This window comes from Homo sapiens, chromosome 11 (assembly GCF_000001405.40).
Source record: "Homo sapiens chromosome 11, GRCh38.p14 Primary Assembly".
Lineage (NCBI taxonomy): Eukaryota > Metazoa > Chordata > Mammalia > Primates > Hominidae > Homo > Homo sapiens.
In genome coordinates this window covers 1,993,896-2,015,581 of record NC_000011.10, presented here as the reverse complement: position 1 = coordinate 2,015,581, position 21,686 = coordinate 1,993,896, and the positions used below count along the sequence as shown (strand labels likewise).

The window sequence follows — 21,686 nt, the reverse complement described above, 5'->3', positions numbered from 1 at the left end:
AGACGGGGCTTCTGCTGAGGGAGATGGCCCCTCGCTGGACGAAGGGCAGTTCTAGGGGGCCTCACTCCCGCCTGAGCCTGGAGATCCCAGCCCTGCGGGAGGGGCATTGCCCAGACCCACCCCTCGGCAGTCGCTGACGCTCTGGGAGAGGGTGCCCTGGCTGTGGTTTGGGGAGGCATGTTAAAACATCAAAGACTTTTGAGTTCAAAGATGTCAGAGGGCAGAGGTCGCGGGCCCCGGCTGCCCTCTGTTTAACCTCAGACCCAAAAGGGAAAAGGGAACCGAAGGGGGAGCGGCTCTGTCCCTGGCCCCATCCCCGGCCCCTCTCTCGCCTCTGATCCTTCTTCCTGGCTCTCTGCAGACAGCGAGAGTGAGAGGGCCCCAGTGTGGCTTCAGCCTCCGCACAGGCCCTCTCTCCCCTCCCCTTTTTTTGCAAAAGCAATGGAAAACAAACACGCTCCCCTGCCCCCCCCAACTCCCCACCTCCCATCCCCAAAATCAACCCAAGAACTCCGCCAGCCTGCTCAGCGCAGCGGGAAAACCGGAGTGGTTGCCTGCGACCCAGAGCGCCACGCGAAAAATAAATTCCTTGTTTTATGATGGGAGGGGAAGGTGGGGGAGGAGAAGGAGACAGAGAGAGAGAAAAATAATTTTTATTATTTTCTGTTATCATTTTCCTAGGGCTGTTTTGCCTGGGTACCACAGTCAGCTGTAGCCCAAGGCCCACCCCTGGGCCTAGGGCAGAGAAGGGCTGGAAGAGGTGGAGGAGGAGGAGGAGGAGGAGGAGGAGGAGGAGGAGGAGGCGAGGAGTGTAATTGAAGCTGGCTGTTGGCCCAACCACCAACTTAAAACAATAAAGCCAGAGGAAGTCCTGCAGGACAGAGAAACAGGGCGAGGGGGTGGGTGGCCAGGGGGCAGGATGGAGAGGCCAGGGTCGCGCTTGGGACCCAGCTTTCCTTGTAGGGAGGAGGCCCCGTGTCCCAGAGGGCACAGGGAGCTGAGGGCTTTGGATAACAGAGAGCAGGGGCGGTCAGTGGCATGGGTGGGGGTTTGGGCTTAGTAAGCAACCTGGGGGCTTGCAGGCCAGGGAGTCAGCCCAGGAAACGGCCCTAAAGTGGGGCTCCTGGGAACAGAGGGACGTACTCTTCGGGTGCCCCGGGTAGCTCCAGAACTGGCTGGGTTGGTTGGTCCAGGGGTCCCATGGCCTGGGCCTCCTTCCCTGGTACTAGGGCCATGAATGCTGATGGGTGGGGATGGAGGGGGCCCTTCTAAAGAGGACTGGCTCCCACGGGCCCTCAGGCCAGAGTGCACTGCCCGCCTTCCAGGCCACCCTTGCAGGGCTGGGAGGCCCAGAAGGAGGGCAGCAGCCCTCTCCCCAGCCTGCCACCCACCACGCCAGAGGCCCTCAAGAGGATGGGTCCATGCCAGATCCCCTGCCCACGCCGGACCCCAGAGCCGCGCCTGTGTTGGGCAGGGCGGGTGCTGCAGCACCTTCTGCGGGGCTGCACAGCTGGAGCCAGTGGAGTTCGTGGCCAGACCCCAAGGCAGTCCTTCCCGGAGCATCCAGGTGCACAGGACAGGAACCTGACTCCCTGTGTGGGCAGGAGCTTCACGCATCCTGGAAGCCCAGGGCCCCGGCCACCCCATCCCCATCAGCCCACAGGCGCCTTCCCAGGCAGGGCTGGGCTTCCAATCCCATCAGGGAGACTCTGGCCAAGCTAATGCTTCCCAGGCCAGGCTCCCCAGGGGACAAAGCGGGCAGGGCTCATGCCCAGCTGCTCACGCCCAGGTCCCCAGCCTGTTCTCCGTGTGCCGCTCCCCTCCCGGGCCTTAGGGTCCTTGTTCCCACGACAGAGGGCCTGGCCCCTCTGAGGACCTCGGGCTCTGGAGACAGCACCTGTTCATGCCCAGCTAGAGCCACAGCAGGGCGACTTGGTGAAGGGTCCCCAGGGCATCCAGCACCCAAGAGCAGGGAGGGGCCTGAGAGGCTGAGGGGCAATCTTGATTACCCCCAAAGCGAGGCACAGTGGGACTCCCTATGGAGGTCAGGGGTGCCCATGGAGAGACCAGTCCTGGGAAAAGGGGCATTTTCAACTGGCTGACAAGGAGGGGTGGGAGGCTGGAGGAAACAGGCCAGGCAGGCCAGAGGTGGTGGGAAACGGAGCGGGAGGTGACGAGTTCAGTCTTCTTGGACTGCTGTCAGAAAGTACCACAGCGTGAGAGAGAGAGTCCGAGGTCAAGGTGCCGCGGGGCGGGTTCCTCCTGAGGCCTCTTTCCTGGGCTTGCAGACCCCGCCATCTCCCTGTGTCCTCACGTGGCTGTTGCCCTGTCAGCGTCTGTGCTCTGATCTCCGCTTATAGAAACACCAGTTGGATGGGCTCAGGGTCATCCTAATGATTCCATCTTAACTTGGTACCTCCTTAAAGATCCACCTCTAGACAGGCCCATTCTGAGGTTGTGGGGTCAGGACTTCCGTGCCTGGGCAGAGACACAGTGCAGCCCTTAGCAGTTCGTGCTCCCAGAAGCCTCACCGTGGGGCCAGGAGAAGGCCAGGCAGGCACAGGTGAAGGGAACACCAACCATCTGCAGGTTGCTGGGAAGAAGGGCAGGAGGGGAGAAGGGCCCGGGGAGCGTGGCTCTGGGCAGCCAGGCCACCTGTCCCATGGGTCCTGGAAACAGCAGCCCAGAGCCCAAGTGTACCAGGCCACGAGGCCACGGAGGGAGAATGTGGGTGAGGGCGCGGGTGGCCGCCAAGAGTGAGGTCCAGAAACACACAGGGGGCCCAGGGTCCTGGCTGGGAAGGCAGAGGCAGCCTCCCCTCGGCCAGCAACGGTGCAGATGCAGTCGGGCTGAGCGGTTGGAAGCCACAGCGTGGGAAATGGCCCAGCCAGAGCCGGATGTGAGAGGGGACCCAGGAGAGGCTGCACGTGCAGAGACGTGGCCCATCCACCCGGATCCTGCGGGCCTCGGAGGATCCAGACCCCTGACTCACAGTCACGCCACAGGCCAGGTGGGGACCCGCCCGGGGAAGAGACAGGAACTGGGGAGCTGCCTCCAGGTTTCCGAGCGCGCACGGACAAACGGGTTCCCGGCGGCCGGCTCCGGGCTTCAGGTCTCCCTGCCTCCCCTAATTGTCCCCGCATGAGGCACAGAGGAGGGAAGTGAGTTAACGCAGAAGTTTCCTCCAAGAAAACTCATCAGAAAAGCCCAGATGGAAAAATCCGCCTCCATGGAGCCCTTGGAATTGGAAGTGATTTCTTTCTGGAAATATGTACCCTGAGGGGTGAGGGAAAGGACAGGGCCTGCATGTTCGTCAAGACGGAGACTGTTGGCTCCACACACCGTGAGCCCCTCCCCAGGGCCACCTCAACCCCTTCCGTCACCCCCTCTCACATCCCCTCAAGGGGAGGGTCCTGCCGGCCAGTCCGGGTCAAGGTCCACGGTCCAAGGTGGGGACGCAGCCTCTGCCTGTGAACGAGCTCCTCCCCAGACCAGCAGGGCCACAAAGTCTGGGACCTTCCACCCTCAGGGTCCTCCCCATAGCCGCCCTCCCTCTGCCAGACCAGCAGGGCCACACAGGCCGGGACCTTCCTCCCACAGCCACCCTCCCTCTACCAGCCTGCACCTGCCACACCCCATCTCCATGGAGGGAAGTCTCCCTGAGTTTAATCTGAGTGCACGCTGTGTTTGCCTGCAGCACGCAGCATTGGAAAGCACTAAAGTGTGGCTCTGCCCCCACCCCTATTTATGGACAGAGACACTAGGGTTGGGAGCGAGGAAATGATTTGTCCCCAGGGCAGCACGTGTGTCAGGACAGGGCAGGCGCTCCTGTGTGGAGAGGTGTCCCCCTTCCCTCCTGCCCCCCGTGTGGTCCTCCCTCACTGTACTCACCCCAAGATGGCGGGGTGCAGCCGACATGCGTGCATCTCTGCACAGTCACCATTCTGGGAGGGTGGTCTGAGTATGGTGTGGGCAGGGTCTCCTCCAGGCGACTGGGGACCCAGGCTCCTGCAGCCTTGTGGCTCGGCACTCCTGAAGCTGCTGGGGGTAGAGGGAGGAGAACGTAGAGGATCCTTCTGGAGACTGTTACGGACCAAATCTGAGAACAATGCAATCACTTCCGCTCCCAGTGAGTGGGCCGGGCTCCATGCACAGGGCCGGAGGACACGTGCAGAGAGAGTGGTCCTCACTGGCCCTCACTGGTCCCGGCGGCAGCACCCACCTCCCACCTCCAAGCCCTTGTCCTCGTCTCTCTGCCAGCCCTGCTCCTGTCTCCGTGATGATGGCCTTTTCAGGCGGGGCTGGCCCCACTCGGGGCTCATGAACGCTCTCGGCCCATCGCTGGGTGCCCCTATGTGCTGGGCTCCGAGTTCCGGGACAGGGCCCAGGTCTGCTGCTGGGGATAGAAGAGGTCCAAAGAAGACAGTCTCCGTGCTCAGGGAGCTTCTGGGCTGGGTGGGAAAAAGGGCTCCACCGGGAGCAGTTGGGTGCCAAGCGCAGCTGCTCCCCAGAGCCTGGCGAGCAGGAGGCAACCCCACCACAGGGGGCCATGTTGACCCAGTCCCTGAGACTCTGAGTGCAGCCTTGGTGGCCAGCCTGAACCATGTGCAGTGGATGCTGGGCAGAAAGGGACCTAGTGGTAAAGACCAGATGGGCAGCCCGGCACAGACAGCAGGAAGGGCCACAGAGACAAATGCCCCATTTCCTGGCCAGCCCCACGCGGGAAGGTGCACATGGGGAGGGAGGGAGGCAGGAGAGGCAGCCGCACGGCCCAGCCGCGGGTGACTGTGGACCTTGCCCCGGCCTTTCCAGCCCCAAACCCCCCAATGTGCAGCCTCAGCCTTCAGGAATGTCCTGTCCATGGCTCAAGCTGCCAAGGGGAATGGACAGGGCCCAGGAGCGGGGGCCCAGGCAGGTGGCCGGCGGCTCTGACACTTTCCTGGCCGAGGTCTGCGTCCCCCGCGGACGTTGCTGGGGCGGTGTGGTGGGCTCCAGCGTCTGGGGGTGTGGGATAGTTTCCAGGCCCCAGCCCATCTGCTCAGGCCCCACTTGGAGGGCCTGTGTTGTTGAGATGTCTGAAATATTTGTTTTCTAAAGGATTAGCTTCCAGATGATTCTGGAAGGGGCCAGGAACGATTGGCGTGGAGGGAGGAAGGAGGCCCTCGCTCCCTCTTGAATCTGGACCAGGAAGGCGTCCTCTGTGCCTTGAAAAGCCCAGGCCACGTCCTCCTTTCTCTAAGCCTTAGTCAGTCCACTTGCTCATCTACTGATCCTTTCATTTATCCAACAAATATCCCTCGAGCTCCTGCTATGAACCAGACCCACGGTCAAGGGCTTAAAACCCCACCTGGTCAGATAGCCCTTTCTCACCAAGCAGGGAGCAAGGGGCTCTCCTCCGCAGGGCATGTCCTGCCCAAGCCCCTGCCCTGGCCTTCACGAAGCCACTCCGACATGTACACCCCTCCCACGTGGTGCCTGTTCTCTGGGACCGCACTGTGAGCCCCAGACAAAGTCTGGGCCATTTGTCCCCTCTGTCCACATCCCTCTACTCACGACCCCTAGGAGCCTGGCGAGGAAGAGGAGGGCCAGCCACCTTTCCTACCGAGAGACTTCTCCAGCCTTCCTGGCTCAGATCCCACTGGCATTGGCGTGCTGAGATTCCAGATAGTGGCCACTCCTGTGGGTGGAGGATGGGGGTCCTGGGGAAGAAGATGGCCCGGACCAGCCTGGCTGGGGCCTGTCCACGAGTGGGAGAAAGAGGACCTGAAGACAGCATGGCTTGTCTTTGAGGGGGGAGGGTCTGGCTCTGGGAGGCTGTGAGTGTTTTGGGAGAGACGAGAAGGCAGCCCTGGAGAGGGTGTCCTGGGGCCACCTTGCTGATGTCAGCGTGAGCCTAAGGAAGCAGGGGCAGGAAAGTGGGGATACAGGAGGACTTCAGAGTCAGGAGGAGGAGAAGTCCCCTGAAGAGAGTCTCTAAGAACTGTTAGCACAGACAACGAGAGAGAGAGAGAGAGAGATCCCAAAGAGAAGACCAGCAGAAAACAAGGCTGGAAGGGACAGAGGCCCAGGGACACTGCGTTCCCAGCTTGGAAGCAGCAACTGTGTCCAGCCCAACAGACACCTCACAAACCAGTGGGGTCCTTGAGTGAGAACACAGGGCTCGTGGCAGAAGGTGACAGTCTTCACCCCAAAAGGAAGAGCTGGATCCACAGGCCCTGGATGGCCGGCAGCAGGGGCACCAGGCCGAGATGTGCTGGTGGGGGAGGCCGGCAGAGACCGGGTGGGGAGGAGGGCTGTAGGGTCAGCAGAGGCTGGGGAGAGGGCTGCGGGGTCGACAGCAGAGAGGCCAGGAGCCAGCTGTGTGTTGCCAAGATGGCAAGTCACCAACACCATGCATGACATCCTCAATGTGACTGACAGCCAGGACCGGCCCCATTAAAACTCCAGGCCTCCAAAGACAGGCCAAGGCCCTCAGACACACCCAGAGGTCCAGGGGCACAGGCAGGCACAGGCTGGGTGTCAGCGGGCACAGGATGAGCCAGAGCTGCTCCGCAGGGACCCCCCAGAGCCTCCCATGTGTGTATTCTGGGGCCCACCATGGCAGGCTGCCTCAATCCTGCCCCTTTCCAACTCTGAACTCTGAGCAGCTAAGAGCTCGCCAGGCTGCACCACACCGTGAGCTCAGGCCAGAGGGGAAACCCCACAGCAGGCCCAGCCCACACCATGCACAACGTCCTCAACGTGGGTGACAGCCAGGACCAGCCTCACTAAAACTCCACACCTGGATTTCCCCAGGACTGTCTCTCTTCTACCTGCCCTGGAGGTGAGTCCCAACCCCGTCTCCTTTCCCTCAGCCAGCCGGTGAGGAGTTGCGTGAACGCCGGCTTCCCTGATATTTTGTGGCTGATTCCCAGGGGAACTCCCTGGTGCAGAAAAGTGAGGCTCAGAGAAGTGGAGGGGCTCGGGCTTCTCACCAGTCCTTGCTGGATGAGCAACTACTCCCAAGCCAGTGACTTAAAAGAGCCGTGACGTGAGCTCTCACAGCTCTGCAAGCCAGGATTCGGGGCAGAGCTTAGCTGGGTACATCTTCTGCCCGTGGGTGACCGGCCAGGCTCCGCCATGCGGCTGCCATCCACCAGAAGCTGGGCTCAGCCGGTCGGTCCAAGTAGCCTTGCCCTCCGAATCTGGCACTCTGGTGCCCTTTCTAGGAACTCTCTCCACACGGCTAGCTTGGGCTTCCTCACAGCATGGCATTCTCATGACAGTGAGAGCCGTACGTGGCTTTTCATGGGGAAAAAAAACTAAGGCTTCTTAACGGTCAGCTTTGAAGTCCCAGAGCAACATCCCACTGCATTTTATTGGTCAAAATGCACCCAGATTTCAGGGGAGGGGAAATAGATCCATCCTCCTGGCATGAACAGAGGTGAAGCTTCCTTGCAAAGGGAGCACGGAGTGGGGAAAAGACTGTTACCGCGTCCCTGTAAGTGGCATGCACGGGTGCCGCAGAGGCAGCTGCGGCTGGGTCAGTGCACCGACGTCAAGGAAATGGCAGCAGACAGAGTCATGGGTCAAACCGTCAGCCTCGTGACATCTCGCTCCATTCCTTCTTGGGCTGAACATCTTATTTTGCTCCATTTTGTGATCCCTGAGATGAAGTGGCTCTGTCAGGATTCAATCAGAGAAGCACCACCTCCTCACGGTCAAAGGGCAGGGGCTTTGTTGGAAGGGATCGGACCTTCTGCCAAGATGGAGCTCCAGGCTGTCTGTGAGACGCTACTGCCCGGCTCTGGGGCTGGGCCTGAAGCCAGCAGGACAGGTGGTCAGGAAAGAAGATGGGCAAGAAGTGGGAAGGGGCAAGGGCCACCTGGACTTCACGAGGCCACACGTGAACCCACGTGGACAGTCCAGTGCCCTACATCTGTCTCTTACCACTTTATGCTGCACTGAATAATGTTCCCTGGAAATTCATGTCCACCCAGGACCTGTGAGTGTCCCCGGAAATTCATGTCCACCCAGGACCTGTGAGTGTCCCCGGAAATTCATGTCCACCCAGGACCTGTGAGTGGGGTCTTCTGTGGACAAGGGCTTTTGTGGGTGCAACCAAATAAAGACAAAGTCACACTGAATTGAGGCGGGGGGAAGCATCCATTCAATGAGTGTCGTCCTTGTAACAAGAGGGAAATTTGCACACAGAGACAGACACACAGTGGAGGAGGCCGTGTGAAGACAGAGGCAGAGACTGGAGCAACGCAGCCACACACCACAGGACACCTGGAGCCCCCAGAAGCCAGAAGGGGCAAGGAGGGGCCACGCTAGGGCCTTGCGAAAGAGGGCGGCCCTGCCCTCCCCTGGGTGGTGAACCTCTGGGCTCCAGAGCTGTGAGAGAGTCCATTCCTATGGCTAAAGCCACCCAGTCTGTGATCACTGTCACAGCAGCCCCAGGAATCAAACCCCTCCAATCCCAAAACACAGGGGACATCCGGAGGAGCAAGCACCCCTCACCAGGGGGCCACAGACACCCATGGCCCAGGACCCAGAGGAGCTGCAGGCTTAGGGCCCAGGGCCAGCAGGCTGAGCCAGGGACGGTGACACCAGGCATGCGCAGCAGCAGCACCCAGGCAGCACCCCAGCAGATGCCAATGTGGTGGCCGCTTCCACCCACTGGTCACGTTGCAGCCGGGTGAGTCTGCCAGGGCTGCCGCAACAAACCGCCATGGACCGGGAGGCTTAAATGAGGGAAATATATCCTCTCCCAGTCCTGGAGGCTGGAGTCCAAGATCAGGGCTGCTGCAGAGCTGGGTCCTCCAAGGCCTCTCTCCTTGGCTTATAGATCCTGCCTTCTCCACATGTCCTCACGGGGTCATCCCTCCGTGTGTGTCTGTGTCCTCCTCTCCTCTTCCTATAAGGACACAGTCCTATGAGACTGTGCTCACCCCTGCTCACATCAGGAGAACGGTCCTGTGTCTCCTCTCGGGACCTCATCTTCATGCCTCCCCCTTGGTTACCCCACGGTCAGGACTCAGCCACCAGCGTGAGCCCACACACCGGCTCTGGAGTGGTGGGCACAGGTGAGAGGGAGGTACAGCTGCCACAGCCAGGAAACCCCAGGACGATCCTGAATGGGCCCAGAGCTGGCTTTTCTCTGTCACGGAGAGAGACATGAGAGGGTCATGAGTGTGAAGATCGCCAGCTCCCAGGGTCAGGGCCCAGCCTCCTTCCATCTCACTGCTCTGGACTCCTCAGTTCCTCATGGAGTCTGTTTAGTGCCTCTCCAGAAAAGACAAGTTGAAGCCCTGACCACCAGCATCTCAGAGCACGAACTCATTTGGAAATAGGGTCATTATAGACGCAATCGATCAGGTCAGACTGCAGTAGGGCAGGCCCTGAATCAAACATCATGGTGTCCTCACAGGTAGAGGAGAGGCACGAGAGAGCAACGCTGCGTGAAGGCGCAGGATGAGAGCATCCTGGAAGATGGGCACGGCTGGGGTGACAGGTCTGGGAGCCTGGGAACACTGGGAAAGTCGGCCAGCACTGGAGCCTCCCTTAGAGCTCGAAGAAGGAGCCAGCCCTGACCACCCCGACTCTGACCTTCTAGCATCGAAACAGGGAGAGACGCATTCCACGTGGTTGTTCCAATCAGCCCAGTTTCTGGGGCTTCCTTATGGCAGCCTCAGGGAACTGGCAAAGCCCAAGTGGGCTATCCCATTACTTATATCTGGGTAGGTCCCAGCCACAGGGGAGAGAGAAGAGAAAGCCCCTCTATCTAATGACACGCTGTACTCATGTCCCACCCGCATGATGTGCCGTACCCGTGTCCCTATCCAGGTGACGTGCCGTACCCGTGTCCCACCCGGGTGACGTGCCGTACCCGTGTCCCACCCGGGTGACGTGCCGTACCCGTGTCCCACCCGGGTGACGTGCCGTACCCGTGTCCCACCCGGGTGACGTGCCGTACCCGTGTCCCACCCGGGTGACGTGCCGTACCCGTGTCCCACCCGGGTGACGTGCCGTACCCGTGTCCCACCCGGGTGACGTGCCGTACCCGTGTCCCTATCCAGGTGACGTGCCGTACCCGTGTCCCACCCAGGTGATGTGCTATGCCCATGTCCCACCCAGGTGACACGCTATACCTGTGTCCCTATCCAGGTGACACGCTGTGCCATGTCCCTATCCGGGTGACACTGTGCCATATCCCTATCCAGGTGACACACAGTGCTCATGTGTCTATCTAGATGACAGCACCGTGCCCACATCTTTATCCCGGTGACAGCACTGTGCCCACGTCCTGTCTTGGTGACATCACTGTGGTTATATACCTGTCCATGTGACATCACTGTGCCCACATCTGCCTCCAGGTGACAGCGCTGTGCCCACATCCCCACCCAAGTGCTCTGGGCACCTTGGCTGGGGCTCTGGCCACTTTCATGTTGGTGCCACCCTGTGTGTGGATCATAGCACCCAGGCACTCACCATTACCGTGGCCAGCACAGACCAGACCCGACCCCAGTAGTCCTCAAAACTAGGTCCCCTGCTGGGTGCGGTGGCTCACGCCTGTAATCCCAGCACTTTGGGAGGCTGAGGCGGGCGGATCACAAGATGAGGAGATCGAGACCAACCTGGCTAACACGGTGAAACCCCATCTCTACTAAAAATACAAAAAATTAGCCGGGTGAGGTGGTGGGCGCCTGTAGTCCCACCTACTTGGGAGGCTGAGGCAGGAGAATGGTGTGAACCCGGGAGGCGGAGCCTGCAGTGAGCCGAGATCATGCCACTGCACTCCAGCCTAGGGGACAGAGCGAGACTCAAAAAACAAAAAAACAAACAAAAAAAAACTAGGTCCCCTGTGCTGTGCTGCTGTACCCCAGCAGTCGCTTCACTGGCAAGACTACTCTTAGCAGGTGCGCCTGGAAGCAGAAACTGGGCAGCTCCCGGTCTGTCCTATACACATGCAAATGCCCCATTAGAAAGCAAATAGCCCGAGGTGTTTGCCTGCTCCCAGGCAAAATCTCCCAAATCTTCCTCCGGGAATCAGTGAACAGAAGAGATGTCCATCACCCCCAGGAGAGTAGTGTCTGAACCCGTCTAACCGCCCAACAGGTTCTCCCTGCCGCCGGTCTGGACAGAGCTGCTTTATCACAACAGGTGACTTGCAATAAAGTTTAATTCACACAGAGTCGGCCGTGCAGGAGACCAGAGTTTTATTATTACTCAAATCAGTCTCCCAGGAAATTTGGGGATCAAAGTTTTTAAGGATCATTTGGTGGGTAGGGGGCGAGTCAATAGGGAGTGCTGATTGGTTGGGTCAGAGATGAAATCATGGAGAGTCAAAGCCATCTTTTTCTGCTGAGTCAGTTCCTGGGTGGGGGCCACAAGACTAGATGAGCCAGTTTATCAATCTGGGGGGTGCCAGCTGATCCACCCAGTACAGGGTCTGCGAAATATCTCAACCACTGATCTTAGGTTCTGCAACAGTGATGTAATCCTAGGAGCAATTTGAGGAGGTTAAAAATCTTTCAGCCTCCAGATGTGTGACTCCATGACTCCTAAACCATAATTTCTAATCTGTGGCTAATTTGTTAGTCCTGAAAGTCTAGTCCCCAGGCAGGAAGAGGGTCTGTCCTGGGAAAGGGCTGTTATTGTCTTTGTTTCAAAGATAAACTATAAACTAAGTTCTTCCCAAAGTTAGTCCAGCCTGCACCCAGAAATGAATAAGAAGGCAAGACAGAGTTGGTTACGTCAGATCTCTTTCATTGTCATAATTTTCTGTTATATATTTTTTTTTTTTTGAGACAGAGTTTCGCTCTTATCATCCAGGCTGGAGTCCAATGGCTCGATCTTGGCTCACTGCAACCTCCACCTCCGGAGTTCCAGTGATTCTCCTGCCTCAGCCTCCCAAGTAGCTGGGATTACAGGCGCCCACCACCATGCCCAGCTAATTTTTGTATTTTTAGTAGAGATGGGATTTCGTCAGGTTGGCCAGGTTGGTCTTGAACTCCTGACCTCAGGTGATCCACCCACCTCGGCCTCCCAAACTGCTGGGATTACAGGCATGAGCCACCACCGCCGGCCGATTTTCTGTAATAATTTTTGCAGAGGCGGTTTCACCAGGAGAACCAAGCATTAATGCGCTGTGGCTGATGTGTAGTAGAGCGGCATTTCCCAATGGGAGAACCCTGGGGCTGTCTAGGAGCCCATGCATGGCTGGGAGCCTAATCCCAGGGACACCACCGATGACAGCTCCCATAGCACGTAGGACAGTGGATACTTGGAGGCAAAGAGAAATCTCTGTTCTGCAGTGGTCATGACTTGGACCCCAAAGAACTTGAGCCCAAGGTCCAGAGGGAGACCCTCCCAACAGGGCCTCCAGCAGGAACAGGGATCGTGGGAGCCTGCCAAGCACAGCGCACAGGTATTTCTGGAGGCTTCCCATTCAGTCTTGGATGCCAGCCTCACCGAGGGCGGCCCATCTTGCTGACCTCACCAAGGGAGGCCCGTCTCACTGCCCTGATGGCGCAGAATCGGCTGTACGTGTGGAATCAGAAGTGGCCGCGCGGCGGCAGTGCAGGCTCACACATCACAGCCCGAGCACGCCTGGCTGGGGTTCACCCACAGAAACGTCCCAGGTCTCCCAGGCCAGGTGCCGCATTGGTTCCCGAGGGTTGTCAGAGATAGACACTCATGCGACTAACATCGGGCTATGTGTTTGATTCACCCCAGGGTGCATTGTTGAAGGTTGGGGAGATTGGAGGAGATGCTTGGGGGACAATGAGGTGTCCCAGTTCCTTGGATGATAGGGATCTCGGCCTAAGCGTGAGACCCCTCCTACAGGGTCTCTGGCAGGCACAGAGCCTGGGGGCTCTTGCATAGCACATGTGTATTTCTGGAGGCTTCCCCTTCGGTCTCACCGCCCCGATGGTGCAGAATCGGTTGTAGTTGTGGAATCGGAAGTGGCCGCGCGGCGGCAGTGCAGGCTCCCACATCACAGCTCAAGCCCGCCCCAGCTGAGGTTCACCCGCGGAAACGTCCCGGGTCACGCAAGCTAGGTGCCGCAAGGTTCACGGGGGTAGTGAGGGATAGAACACTCATGGGAGCCACATTGGGCTACGTGTCTGATTCACCCCAGGGTGCACTATTGAGGGTTGGGGAGATGAGATACTTTGGTGACAATGAGGTGTCCCCATTCTTTGGATGATGGGGATCTCGGCCTCAGCGTGAGGCCCCTCCCACAGGGTCTCTGGCAGGCACAGAAACTGGGGGCTCTTGCGTAGCACATGGGTATTTGTGGACGCTTCCCCTTCTGTCTCACCACCCGGATGGCACAGAATCGGTTGTAAGTGTGGACTCAAAAGTGGCCGCGCGGCGGCAGTGCAGGCTCACACATCACAGCCCAAGCCCTCCCTGGATGGGGTTCGCCCGCGGAAACGTCCTGGGTCACCCAAGCCAGGTGCCGCAGGGTTCTCGGAGGTCTTCTGGGAATAGGACGCTCATGGGAGCCACACCACGTCTTCGTATCGGGCCATATCCACGGCCGCGTGGCCCCAGGTCACACTCTGAGGGCTTCAGTGTCATGGCCTGGGACTCAAGTCACGCCTACCCGCGTGATGAGCACAGCAAATTCCGCCAAAAGCTTATACTTTCCACATCCATCCCAGAGCACAGATCCGACTAAGGACAGCCCCCAAATCCCGAGCCTTTTTCTGAACTGACAATTGCCTCCCCAGTGAACACTCTGAGCTTGTCAATCTTAAGTGGCCAGACATTAACATTCCCATTCAGTGCAGGTTTGAGATGCTAATTTAGGAGCTTGAGATGCTAAAGAGCTGGGAGTGCCACTGCTGCTTTATTCTGGGGTCTAGGATCCTTGTGTTGGCTGAGATAATCTGCTAATGTGGGTGCAGCAGACATCCCGCGGTTTGTGGAATCGATAAAGGATGGGGATCAATGGTGTTTGTGCACTGTGCGGTCTGTGCCCAATTGCCTGCCTTGTGCTGTGGAATCTGTACATCTGGCCAACATGTGCTTGTGTGAGCCTGACAGTGCATTTTCCAGAGCCTCACCTCGGCTCTGCCCTGGAGGCTCTGTGCTGCTGGAATCAGACTCAAGGACCTCATCAGAGGACCATGGCCCCGTATCACCTGGGTCAGGCACTGAAGCTGGGACAGGAGAGCAGAGACTTCCAAAATGAGGGATCCCTGTGTTCTGAGGTGATCATGACTGGGACCCAAGGACTCAAGCGCATGCTCCAGAGGGAATCGTTTCCCACAAGGCCTTTGGCAGGAACAGGGATCCTGGGAGCCTGCCAAGCAGAGCGCACAGTGTTCCTGGAGTCTCGCTGCCCAGATGCCACGGAATCAGTTGAAGGTATGGAAACACAGGTGGCCACGTGGTAGCAGGGCAGGCTCAGGCGTCATAGCCCGAGCCCGGCTACCTGTGGTTTGCCTGCAGAAACATCCCGGGTCAACAGGCCAGGCACCGCATTGGTTCGCGAGGGTCATCGGGGGTAGGACCCTTGTACGAGCCACATCGGGCTACGTGCCTGATTCACCCCAGGGTGCACTGTTGAAGGTTGGGGAGATGAGAGGAGATACTTGGGGGACAGTGAAGTGTCCCCATTCTTTGGATGATGGGGATCTCGGCCTCAGCGTGAGACCCCTCCCACAGGGTCTCTGGCAGGCTCAAGAGCCCAGGGGCTCTTGCATAGCACATGAATATTTCTGGAGGCTTCCCCTTCAGTCTCACCACCCGGATGGTGCAGAATTGGTTGTAGCTGTGGAATCGGAAGTGGCCGCGTGGCGGCAGTGCAGGCTCACACATCACAGCCCGAGCCCGCCCCAGCTGGGGTTCGCCCGCGGAAACGTCCCGGGTCCCGCAAGCCAGGCGCCGCAGGGTTCACGGGGGTCATCAGGGATAGGACATTCATGGGAGCCACATCGGGCTATGTGTCTGATTCACCCCAGGGTGCACTATTGAGGGTTGGGGAGATGAGAGGAGATACTTGGGGGACAATGAAGTGTCCCCATTCTTTGGATGATGGGGATCTTGGCCTCAGGGTGAGATCCTTCTTGCAGGGTCTCTGGCAGGCACAGAGCCCGGGGGCTCTTGCATAGCACATGTGTATTTCTGGAGGCTTCCCCTTCAGTCTCACCGCCCGGATGGCACAGAATTGGTTGTAGTTGTGGAATCGGAGGTGGCTGCGCGGCGGCAGTGCAGGCTCACACATCACAGCCTGAGCCCGCCCCAGCTGGGGTTCGCCCGTGGAAACATCCCAGGTCATCCAAGCCGGGCGCCACAGGGTTCACAGGGGTCGTGAGGTATAGGACACTCATGGGAGCCATATCGGGCTACGTGTCTGATTCACCCCAGGGTGCACTGTTGAAGGTTGGGGAGATGGGAGGAGATACTAGGGGAACAATGAGGTGTCCCAGTTCCATGGATGATGGGGATCTCGGCCCTAGTGTGAAACCCTTCTCGCAGGGTCTCTGGCAGGCACAGAGCCCGGGGGCTCTTGCATAGCACATGGGTATTTCTGGAGGCTTCTCCTTCGGTCTCACCGCCTGGATGGCACGGAATTGGTTGTAGTTGTGGAATCGGAAGTGGCCGCGCGGCGGCAGTGCAGGCTCACACATCACAGCCCGAGCCCGCCCCAACTGGGGTTCGCCCGTGGAAACGTCCCGGGTCACCCAAGCCACGCGTCGCAGGGTTCACGGGGGTCATCTGGGAATAGGACACTCATGGGAGCCGCACCAGATCTTCAGGTCGGGCATTATCCACAGCCCCGTGGCCCCGGGTCACACTCCGAGGGCTTCAGTGTCATGGCCTGGGACTCAAGTCACGCCTACTTATGTGATGATCACAGTGTGTTCCACCAAAATCTTACATTTTCCACATCTATCCCAGAGCACAGCTCCGACTCCGTCTAAGGACAGCCCCCAAATCCCCAGCCTTTTACTGAACTGACAATTGCCTCCCCAGTGAACACTCTGATCTCCTCAGCCCTAAGTGGCCAGACATTAACATTCTCATTCAATGCAGGTTTGAGGTGCTAATTCAGGAGCTTAAGATGCTAAAGAGCTGGGAGCGCCACTGCTGCTTTATTCTCTGGTCCAGGATCCTTGTGTTGCTGGAGATAATCCATTATCGTGGGTGCAGCAGACACCCTGCGGCTTGTGGACTCGGTACGGGGTGGGGATCCTGATGGGGTTAGGATGTTCGATGGCTCGGGTGTGCTCCACGCTCAGGGATCATCACGTCCGGCCGGCGGTAGTTGGCACGTGGAGAGGTGAATTTGCCCACAGGTGTTCCCCGTGCCTGCGCATTGCTGGCAGCACGACCGGATCCTGTGCTAGCCCCTCCCACAATGCCTGGAGCAGGAGCGAGGGGCCTGGGGAGCCGCCTTGCCTGGAGCATTTGTATTTCCGGAGTATTTCCTGAGTCTCCCCTTGGGTCTTGGGTGCTGTCCCCAGTGAGCCCATCTCCCAGCGATGGCACAGAATCGGTTGTGGCTGTGGAGACGGAAATGGCCGAGAGGCGGCAGTGGTGACTCACATCACAGTCTGAAGGTGACCCAAGGCTGGACTCCACTTTTAGCAAAATGTGGGGGTCTGCCTTGGTCTCCTAACTTGGGGGTCCACTCATGGAAAAGCCTGAGAATTTTCATGCCATGGAAATTCCCCCATGTCGTGGGGTTCACGCACGACAAAGCCCGGCGGTCAGTGCTCAGCAGGCAAGCACTCAGCCCTTTCCGGTGGGGCCATGGGAACAGAGGGTTTGCCGAAGGCGCGGCCAGCCCTTCCACATCCCAGAGGGCCTGCTGGGTGATTGGACCCGTGAACTCTGGGTCCCTTGGCCCTGGTGCTCCCCTTCACGGCTTTGACACTCGAGACTTGAGGTGAACCCCAGGGACTGCAGGGCCCCAACAACCCTCACCAAAGGCCAAGGTGGTGACCGACGGACCCACAGCGGGGTGGCTGGGGGAGTCGAAACTCGCCAGTCTCCACTCCACTCCCAACCGTGGTGCCCCACGCGGGCCTGGGAGAGTCTGTGAGGCCGCCCACCGCTTGTCAGTAGAGTGCGCCCGCGAGCCGTAAGCACAGCCCGGCAACATGCGGTCTTCAGACAGGAAAGTGGCCGCGAATGGGACCGGGGTGCCCAGCGGCTGTGGGGACTCTGTCCTGCGGAAACCGCGGTGACCAGCACAAGCTCGGTCAACTGGATGGGAATCGGCCTGGGGGGCTGGCACCGCGCCCACCAGGGGGTTTGCGGCACTTCCCTCTGCCCCTCAGCACCCCACCCCTACTCTCCAGGAACGTGAGGTCTGAGCCGTGATGGTGGCAGGAAGGGGCCCTCTGTGCCATCCGAGTCCCCAGGGACCCGCAGCTGGCCCCCAGCCATGTGCAAAGTATGTGCAGGGCGCTGGCAGGCAGGGAGCAGCAGGCATGGTGTCCCCTGAGGGGAGACAGTGGTCTGGGAGGGAGAAGTCCTGGACCCTGAGGGAGGTGATGGGGCAATGCTCAGCCCTGTCTCCGGATGCCAAAGGAGGGGTGCGGGGAGGCCGTCTTTGGAGAATTCCAGGATGGGTGCTGGGTGAGAGAGACGTGTGCTGGAACTGTCCAGGGCGGAGGTGGGCCCTGCGGGGGCCCTCGGGAGGGCCCTGCTCTGATTGGCCGGCAGGGCAGGGGCGGGAATTCTGGGCGGGGCCACCCCAGTTAGAAAAAGCCCGGGCTAGGACCGAGGAGCAGGGTGAGGGAGGGGGTGGGATGGGTGGGGGGTAACGGGGGAAACTGGGGAAGTGGGGAACCGAGGGGCAACCAGGGGAAGATGGGGTGCTGGAGGAGAGCTTGTGGGAGCCAAGGAGCACCTTGGACATCTGGAGTCTGGCAGGAGTGATGACGGGTGGAGGGGCTAGCTCGAGGCAGGGCTGGTGGGGCCTGAGGCCAGTGAGGAGTGTGGAGTAGGCGCCCAGGCATCGTGCAGACAGGGCGACATCAGCTGGGGACGATGGGCCTGAGCTAGGGCTGGAAAGAAGGGGGAGCCAGGCATTCATCCCGGTCACTTTTGGTTACAGGACGTGGCAGCTGGTTGGACGAGGGGAGCTGGTGGGCAGGGTTTGATCCCAGGGCCTGGGCAACGGAGGTGTAGCTGGCAGCAGCGGGCAGGTGAGGACCCCATCTGCCGGGCAGGTGAGTCCCTTCCCTCCCCAGGCCTCGCTTCCCCAGCCTTCTGAAAGAAGGAGGTTTAGGGGATCGAGGGCTGGCGGGGAGAAGCAGACACCCTCCCAGCAGAGGGGCAGGATGGGGGCAGGAGAGTTAGCAAAGGTGACATCTTCTCGGGGGGAGCCGAGACTGCGCAAGGCTGGGGGGTTATGGGCCCGTTCCAGGCAGAAAGAGCAAGAGGGCAGGGAGGGAGCACAGGGGTGGCCAGCGTAGGGTCCAGCACGTGGGGTGGTACCCCAGGCCTGGGTCAGACAGGGACATGGCAGGGGACACAGGACAGAGGGGTCCCCAGCTGCCACCTCACCCACCGCAATTCATTTAGTAGCAGGCACAGGGGCAGCTCCGGCACGGCTTTCTCAGGCCTATGCCGGAGCCTCGAGGGCTGGAGAGCGGGAAGACAGGCAGTGCTCGGGGAGTTGCAGCAGGACGTCACCAGGAGGGCGAAGCGGCCACGGGAGGGGGGCCCCGGGACATTGCGCAGCAAGGAGGCTGCAGGGGCTCGGCCTGCGGGCGCCGGTCCCACGAGGCACTGCGGCCCAGGGTCTGGTGCGGAGAGGGCCCACAGTGGACTTGGTGACGCTGTATGCCCTCACCGCTCAGCCCCTGGGGCTGGCTTGGCAGACAGTACAGCATCCAGGGGAGTCAAGGGCATGGGGCGAGACCAGACTAGGCGAGGCGGGCGGGGCGGAGTGAATGAGCTCTCAGGAGGGAGGATGGTGCAGGCAGGGGTGAGGAGCGCAGCGGGCGGCGAGCGGGAGGCACTGGCCTCCAGAGCCCGTGGCCAAGGCGGGCCTCGCGGGCGGCGACGGAGCCGGGATCGGTGCCTCAGCGTTCGGGCTGGAGACGAGGGTGAGTTTTTCCCCCTCTGCCACCCTCAGCCCCCACCCGCCCCTCCCCACACAACCAACACGTTCTCCCCACACGACTCTCTCGTTCTCCCCACAGCCAGGTCTCCAGCTGGGGTGGACGTGCCCACCAGCTGCCGAAGGCCAAGACGCCAGGTCCGGTGGACGTGACAAGCAGGACATGACATGGTCCGGTGTGACGGCGAGGACAGAGGAGGCGCGTCCGGCCTTCCTGGTGAGCGTGTCTGCCCTCCCTGCGTCAGGACGCGGCCCTGCCCAGACCGCCCCGCCGGGCCACCATCTCACTGCCCCGACCTCTGTCTTCTACAGAACACCTTAGGCTGGTGGGGCTGCGGCAAGAAGCGGGTCTGTTTCTTTACTTCCTCCACGGAGTCGGCACACTATGGCTGCCCTCTGGGCTCCCAGAACCCACAACATGAAAGGTGAGGGGCTTCCTGCCACACTTGGGGTGGGGGGCACGCGAGAGGAGCTGAGTGGGACCTCACTCCTTCCCCATCCACAGAAATGGTGCTACCCAGCTCAAGCCTGGGCCTTTGAATCCGGACACAAAACCCTCTAGCTTGGAAATGAATATGCTGCACTTTACAACCACTGCACTACCTGACTCAGGAATCGGCTCTGGAAGGTGAGCACCAGCGCTCCTTCCGGAAGCCTCCAGGCCCCCGAGCACCCTGCCCCCATCCCACCCACGTGTCGCTATCTCTAGGTGAAGCTAGAGGAACCAGACCTCATCAGCCCAACATCAAAGACACCATCGGAACAGCAGCGCCCGCAGCACCCACCCCGCACCGGCGACTCCATCTTCATGGCCACCCCCTGCGGCGGACGGTTGACCACCAGCCACCACATCATCCCAGAGCTGAGCTCCTCCAGCGGGATGACGCCGTCCCCACCACCTCCCTCTTCTTCTTTTTCATCCTTCTGTCTCTTTGTTTCTGAGCTTTCCTGTCTTTCCTTTTTTCTGAGAGATTCAAAGCCTCCACGACTCTGTTTCCCCCGTCCCTTCTGAATTTAATTTGCACTAAGTCATTTGCACTGGTTGGAGTTGTGGAGACGGCCTTGAGTCTCAGTACGAGTGTGCGTGAGTGTGAGCCACCTTGGCAAGTGCCTGTGCAGGGCCCGGCCGCCCTCCATCTGGGCCGGGTGACTGGGCGCCGGCTGTGTGCCCGAGGCCTCACCCTGCCCTCGCCTAGTCTGGAAGCTCCGACCGACATCACGGAGCAGCCTTCAAGCATTCCATTACGCCCCATCTCGCTCTGTGCCCCTCCCCACCAGGGCTTCAGCAGGAGCCCTGGACTCATCATCAATAAACACTGTTACAGCAATTTGTCTCGAGGACTCTGGAATCCGGGCTGTGGGCATGATGTGGGGGAGGCCAGCCTTGGGCAGAGGGGGGCTGGGGGGCATGGGGAGGAGTACATGAAAAGGGGGATGGGGGTTCCAGGGTGGGGGATTCTGGGATGGGTGCAGCGCAGCACACACCAGGGGTGGGGTGAGCACAGGGTGTGTGGACCTCAGGGGTGCAGGGCAGGCGGTCAGCATGCAGTGATGGCAGTGGAGGGGCTGTGGGACCAGGGGCTTCACAGACTGGGCGGGGGCTGGGCTTGCGGAGGGGGCCTGCGCTCTGAGGCAGGGGTCGGGGACCACCAAACCATCCCCGAGCGAGTGCCTCCTGTCGCCCCAAAGTCCCATCAGAATGACGCCTTGGTGCTGGCCCCAGACCCCTGAAGCCCGGGCTAGGTGACTGGGGTAGAGCTGGCCATGGCCGCTCTGGGAGGCCCACAAGGTGCTCTGGGCGACCCCACCCCGACAGGGGCACGAACCCCGCGCCAGTCCCGTTCCTGCTCCCCTTTTGCTGTGGGTGGGAGCCGGGGCCACGCCGGAGGGACGGCCCCGCACAAGGAGCCAGGGGGTTGTGGGGGAGCCGGTGGGCTTCTCAGTGGGCAGGTGGCCTTGGGGCAGAGGTCCTAAGGAGGCCAGGGGACCAGGAGGAGGGAGGAAGAAGTTGAGGGTGGCCACAGGGAGGAGGTGAGGAGGAGCGGGAGGGCCCAGGGTGAGGGGCTCCCGGGCTCCCTCCCCGGGGTCTTGCTGCTGGAGCTCCAAGAACCCCGGTATGCAGGGGTTCGCTCCCCAGGTGCCAAGGCAGCCCACTCATGGGTTCCGGGTCAGCTTCCCCGCAGAGGCCAGTGGCCGGCAGCTCCCTCAGCCAGGCCTCCCAGCTCCCGGCCCCTCGCTGTGCAGGCGCTGGGAACACAAGGGGCAGCCCCTGGAAATAAGGGTGGGGTCCCGGCCTCCCCATTCCTTCCCCCCTCCCCCCTGCCTTCCACCCCCATTCCCAGTGCACAGAGCTGTCAGGAAAATTCCTCCCCGACTGACAAAGAACAGACAGGAAGGCGGTTAGGGACGCCCCTCCCCTACCGGCCCAGCCGCCCTTGGGGTCTTGGTGTCCAGGGCGGAAGAGCAGGGTGGTTCCCCACGTCCCTTGGGTCTGGCCTCCCCTCTGCACCCTCTCTTGCCCCCTCCCCATCCAGCTGTGGGCCCTGGGGACTGTCAGAGACCGAGGGGTTTCCAGGGACACACTTGTGTGCTAAAACCTGGGCGGGTG

The 21,686-nt window shown here is 60.4% G+C and overlaps 1 protein-coding gene, 1 long non-coding RNA gene and 1 other non-coding gene across 10 annotated transcripts in view, besides 30 other annotated features; 2 read left to right on the top strand and 1 right to left on the bottom strand.

Annotated features, from left to right (window-relative positions):
• Positions 1-637: 637 nt before the first annotated feature.
• MRPL23 (mitochondrial ribosomal protein L23) overlaps positions 638-21,686 on the bottom strand; it is a 67,613-nt gene continuing 46,564 nt past the window's right edge. Inside the window, exons 6-7 of one of the 2 annotated variants that reach the window (XM_011520273.2) lie at positions 3,892-4,041; positions 638-3,276 (exon numbers count right to left, since the gene is read on the bottom strand). In XM_011520273.2, the coding sequence (XP_011518575.1) occupies positions 3,198-3,276; positions 3,892-4,041 (229 nt within the window). In that variant the 3' untranslated portion in view covers positions 638-3,197. The remainder of the gene's footprint in view (positions 3,277-3,891; positions 4,042-21,686) is intronic. The other variant, NM_001400176.1, reaches the window with a different exon arrangement.
• Positions 1,418-2,146: an enhancer, noted in NCBI's record as "H3K27ac-H3K4me1 hESC enhancer chr11:2034666-2035394 (GRCh37/hg19 assembly coordinates)". NCBI's record gives its function as "activates a minimal SCP1, AML or CMV promoter by ChIP-STARR-seq in naive H9 embryonic stem cells {active_cell/tissue: H9 hESC(naive)}" and the evidence as "EXISTENCE:reporter gene assay evidence [ECO:0000049][PMID:30033119]".
• Positions 12,073-13,533: an enhancer blocking element, noted in NCBI's record as "EagI fragment containing the B5, B6 and B7 repeats". NCBI's record gives the evidence for it as "EXISTENCE:reporter gene assay evidence [ECO:0000049][PMID:10839547]".
• Positions 12,073-16,837: an imprinting control region. NCBI's record gives its function as "controls imprinted expression of the H19 and IGF2 genes" and the evidence as "EXISTENCE:mutant phenotype evidence [ECO:0000015][PMID:15314640, PMID:20007505]".
• Positions 12,073-17,380: a biological region, named in NCBI's record as "H19/IGF2 imprinting control region". NCBI's record gives its function as "regulatory_interactions: H19 | IGF2".
• Positions 12,407-13,496: an enhancer blocking element, noted in NCBI's record as "H19-Ai fragment that includes the B5, B6 and B7 repeats, and CTCF sites 1, 2 and 3". NCBI's record gives its function as "reproducible enhancer-blocking activity in either orientation" and the evidence as "EXISTENCE:reporter gene assay evidence [ECO:0000049][PMID:12874112]".
• Positions 12,497-12,687: a direct repeat, noted in NCBI's record as "B7 repeat; partial compared to other B-type repeats".
• Positions 12,524-12,571: a protein binding site, noted in NCBI's record as "CTCF site 1, or h1". NCBI's record gives its function as "binds the unmethylated maternal allele but not the methylated paternal allele" and the evidence as "EXISTENCE:chromatin immunoprecipitation evidence [ECO:0000226][PMID:12960026]", "EXISTENCE:protein binding evidence [ECO:0000024][PMID:10839547]" and "EXISTENCE:sequence alignment evidence [ECO:0000200][PMID:10839546]".
• Positions 12,691-13,096: a direct repeat, noted in NCBI's record as "B6 repeat".
• Positions 12,929-12,976: a protein binding site, noted in NCBI's record as "CTCF site 2, or h2". NCBI's record gives its function as "binds the unmethylated maternal allele but not the methylated paternal allele" and the evidence as "EXISTENCE:chromatin immunoprecipitation evidence [ECO:0000226][PMID:12960026]" and "EXISTENCE:sequence alignment evidence [ECO:0000200][PMID:10839546]".
• Positions 13,097-13,498: a direct repeat, noted in NCBI's record as "B5 repeat".
• Positions 13,140-13,987: an enhancer, noted in NCBI's record as "OCT4-NANOG-H3K27ac-H3K4me1 hESC enhancer chr11:2022825-2023672 (GRCh37/hg19 assembly coordinates)". NCBI's record gives its function as "activates a minimal SCP1, AML or CMV promoter by ChIP-STARR-seq in primed H9 embryonic stem cells {active_cell/tissue: H9 hESC(primed)}" and the evidence as "EXISTENCE:reporter gene assay evidence [ECO:0000049][PMID:30033119]".
• Positions 13,330-13,377: a protein binding site, noted in NCBI's record as "CTCF site 3, or h3". NCBI's record gives its function as "binds the unmethylated maternal allele but not the methylated paternal allele" and the evidence as "EXISTENCE:chromatin immunoprecipitation evidence [ECO:0000226][PMID:12960026]" and "EXISTENCE:sequence alignment evidence [ECO:0000200][PMID:10839546]".
• Positions 13,534-15,753: an enhancer blocking element, noted in NCBI's record as "BglII-EagI fragment containing the B1, B2, B3, B4 and A2 repeats". NCBI's record gives the evidence for it as "EXISTENCE:reporter gene assay evidence [ECO:0000049][PMID:10839547]".
• Positions 13,631-13,897: a direct repeat, noted in NCBI's record as "A2 repeat". NCBI's record gives the evidence for it as "EXISTENCE:sequence similarity evidence [ECO:0000044][PMID:10079367]".
• Positions 13,771-13,813: a protein binding site, noted in NCBI's record as "BWS-s043WT-OCT-binding site 1 in the A2 repeat; a Beckwith-Wiedemann syndrome C>T point mutation abrogates binding ability". NCBI's record gives its function as "maintenance of the maternal allele unmethylated status in early embryogenesis" and the evidence as "EXISTENCE:protein binding evidence [ECO:0000024][PMID:24299031, PMID:20007505]".
• Positions 13,988-14,835: an enhancer, noted in NCBI's record as "OCT4-NANOG-H3K27ac-H3K4me1 hESC enhancer chr11:2021977-2022824 (GRCh37/hg19 assembly coordinates)". NCBI's record gives its function as "activates a minimal SCP1, AML or CMV promoter by ChIP-STARR-seq in primed H9 embryonic stem cells {active_cell/tissue: H9 hESC(primed)}" and the evidence as "EXISTENCE:reporter gene assay evidence [ECO:0000049][PMID:30033119]".
• Positions 14,316-20,406, top strand: H19 (H19 imprinted maternally expressed transcript). Of its 7 annotated transcripts, none has more exons than NR_131224.2 (5): positions 14,316-14,364; positions 19,161-19,295; positions 19,391-19,503; positions 19,584-19,706; positions 19,788-20,406. It is a non-coding gene; the product is annotated as a H19 imprinted maternally expressed transcript (long non-coding RNA). The 7 variants fall into 7 exon arrangements; NR_185829.1 differs by lacking the exon at positions 14,316-14,364 and adding an exon at positions 17,740-19,064 and having other exon boundaries at positions 19,165-19,295; NR_185831.1 differs by lacking the exon at positions 14,316-14,364 and adding an exon at positions 17,740-19,064 and having other exon boundaries at positions 19,641-19,706.
• Positions 14,329-14,523: a direct repeat, noted in NCBI's record as "B4 repeat; partial compared to other B-type repeats".
• Positions 14,508-15,466: an enhancer blocking element, noted in NCBI's record as "H19-Bi fragment that includes part of the B1 repeat, the B2 and B3 repeats, and CTCF sites 4 and 5". NCBI's record gives its function as "weak enhancer-blocking activity in either orientation" and the evidence as "EXISTENCE:reporter gene assay evidence [ECO:0000049][PMID:12874112]".
• Positions 14,524-14,930: a direct repeat, noted in NCBI's record as "B3 repeat".
• Positions 14,763-14,810: a protein binding site, noted in NCBI's record as "CTCF site 4, or h4". NCBI's record gives its function as "binds the unmethylated maternal allele but not the methylated paternal allele" and the evidence as "EXISTENCE:chromatin immunoprecipitation evidence [ECO:0000226][PMID:12960026]" and "EXISTENCE:sequence alignment evidence [ECO:0000200][PMID:10839546]".
• Positions 14,931-15,336: a direct repeat, noted in NCBI's record as "B2 repeat".
• Positions 15,169-15,216: a protein binding site, noted in NCBI's record as "CTCF site 5, or h5". NCBI's record gives its function as "binds the unmethylated maternal allele but not the methylated paternal allele" and the evidence as "EXISTENCE:chromatin immunoprecipitation evidence [ECO:0000226][PMID:12960026]" and "EXISTENCE:sequence alignment evidence [ECO:0000200][PMID:10839546]".
• Positions 15,337-15,753: a direct repeat, noted in NCBI's record as "B1 repeat".
• Positions 15,573-15,645: a protein binding site, noted in NCBI's record as "CTCF site 6, or h6, or B1 site". NCBI's record gives its function as "binds the unmethylated maternal allele but not the methylated paternal allele" and the evidence as "EXISTENCE:chromatin immunoprecipitation evidence [ECO:0000226][PMID:12960026]", "EXISTENCE:protein binding evidence [ECO:0000024][PMID:10839547]" and "EXISTENCE:sequence alignment evidence [ECO:0000200][PMID:10839546]".
• Positions 15,581-16,837: an enhancer blocking element, noted in NCBI's record as "H19-Ci fragment that includes the A1 repeat, part of the B1 repeat, and CTCF sites 6 and 7". NCBI's record gives its function as "strong orientation-dependent enhancer-blocking activity" and the evidence as "EXISTENCE:reporter gene assay evidence [ECO:0000049][PMID:12874112]".
• Positions 15,685-16,531: an enhancer, noted in NCBI's record as "NANOG-H3K27ac-H3K4me1 hESC enhancer chr11:2020281-2021127 (GRCh37/hg19 assembly coordinates)". NCBI's record gives its function as "activates a minimal SCP1, AML or CMV promoter by ChIP-STARR-seq in primed H9 embryonic stem cells {active_cell/tissue: H9 hESC(primed)}" and the evidence as "EXISTENCE:reporter gene assay evidence [ECO:0000049][PMID:30033119]".
• Positions 15,876-16,148: a direct repeat, noted in NCBI's record as "A1 repeat". NCBI's record gives the evidence for it as "EXISTENCE:sequence similarity evidence [ECO:0000044][PMID:10079367]".
• Positions 16,498-16,545: a protein binding site, noted in NCBI's record as "CTCF site 7, or h7". NCBI's record gives its function as "binds the unmethylated maternal allele but not the methylated paternal allele" and the evidence as "EXISTENCE:chromatin immunoprecipitation evidence [ECO:0000226][PMID:12960026]" and "EXISTENCE:sequence alignment evidence [ECO:0000200][PMID:10839546]".
• Positions 16,532-17,380: an enhancer, noted in NCBI's record as "H3K27ac-H3K4me1 hESC enhancer chr11:2019432-2020280 (GRCh37/hg19 assembly coordinates)". NCBI's record gives its function as "activates a minimal SCP1, AML or CMV promoter by ChIP-STARR-seq in naive H9 embryonic stem cells {active_cell/tissue: H9 hESC(naive)}" and the evidence as "EXISTENCE:reporter gene assay evidence [ECO:0000049][PMID:30033119]".
• Positions 17,381-18,228: an enhancer, noted in NCBI's record as "H3K27ac-H3K4me1 hESC enhancer chr11:2018584-2019431 (GRCh37/hg19 assembly coordinates)". NCBI's record gives its function as "activates a minimal SCP1, AML or CMV promoter by ChIP-STARR-seq in naive H9 embryonic stem cells {active_cell/tissue: H9 hESC(naive)}" and the evidence as "EXISTENCE:reporter gene assay evidence [ECO:0000049][PMID:30033119]".
• On the top strand, positions 18,751-18,823 carry MIR675 (microRNA 675). Its single transcript, NR_030533.1, has one exon. It is a non-coding gene; the product is annotated as a microRNA 675 (primary transcript).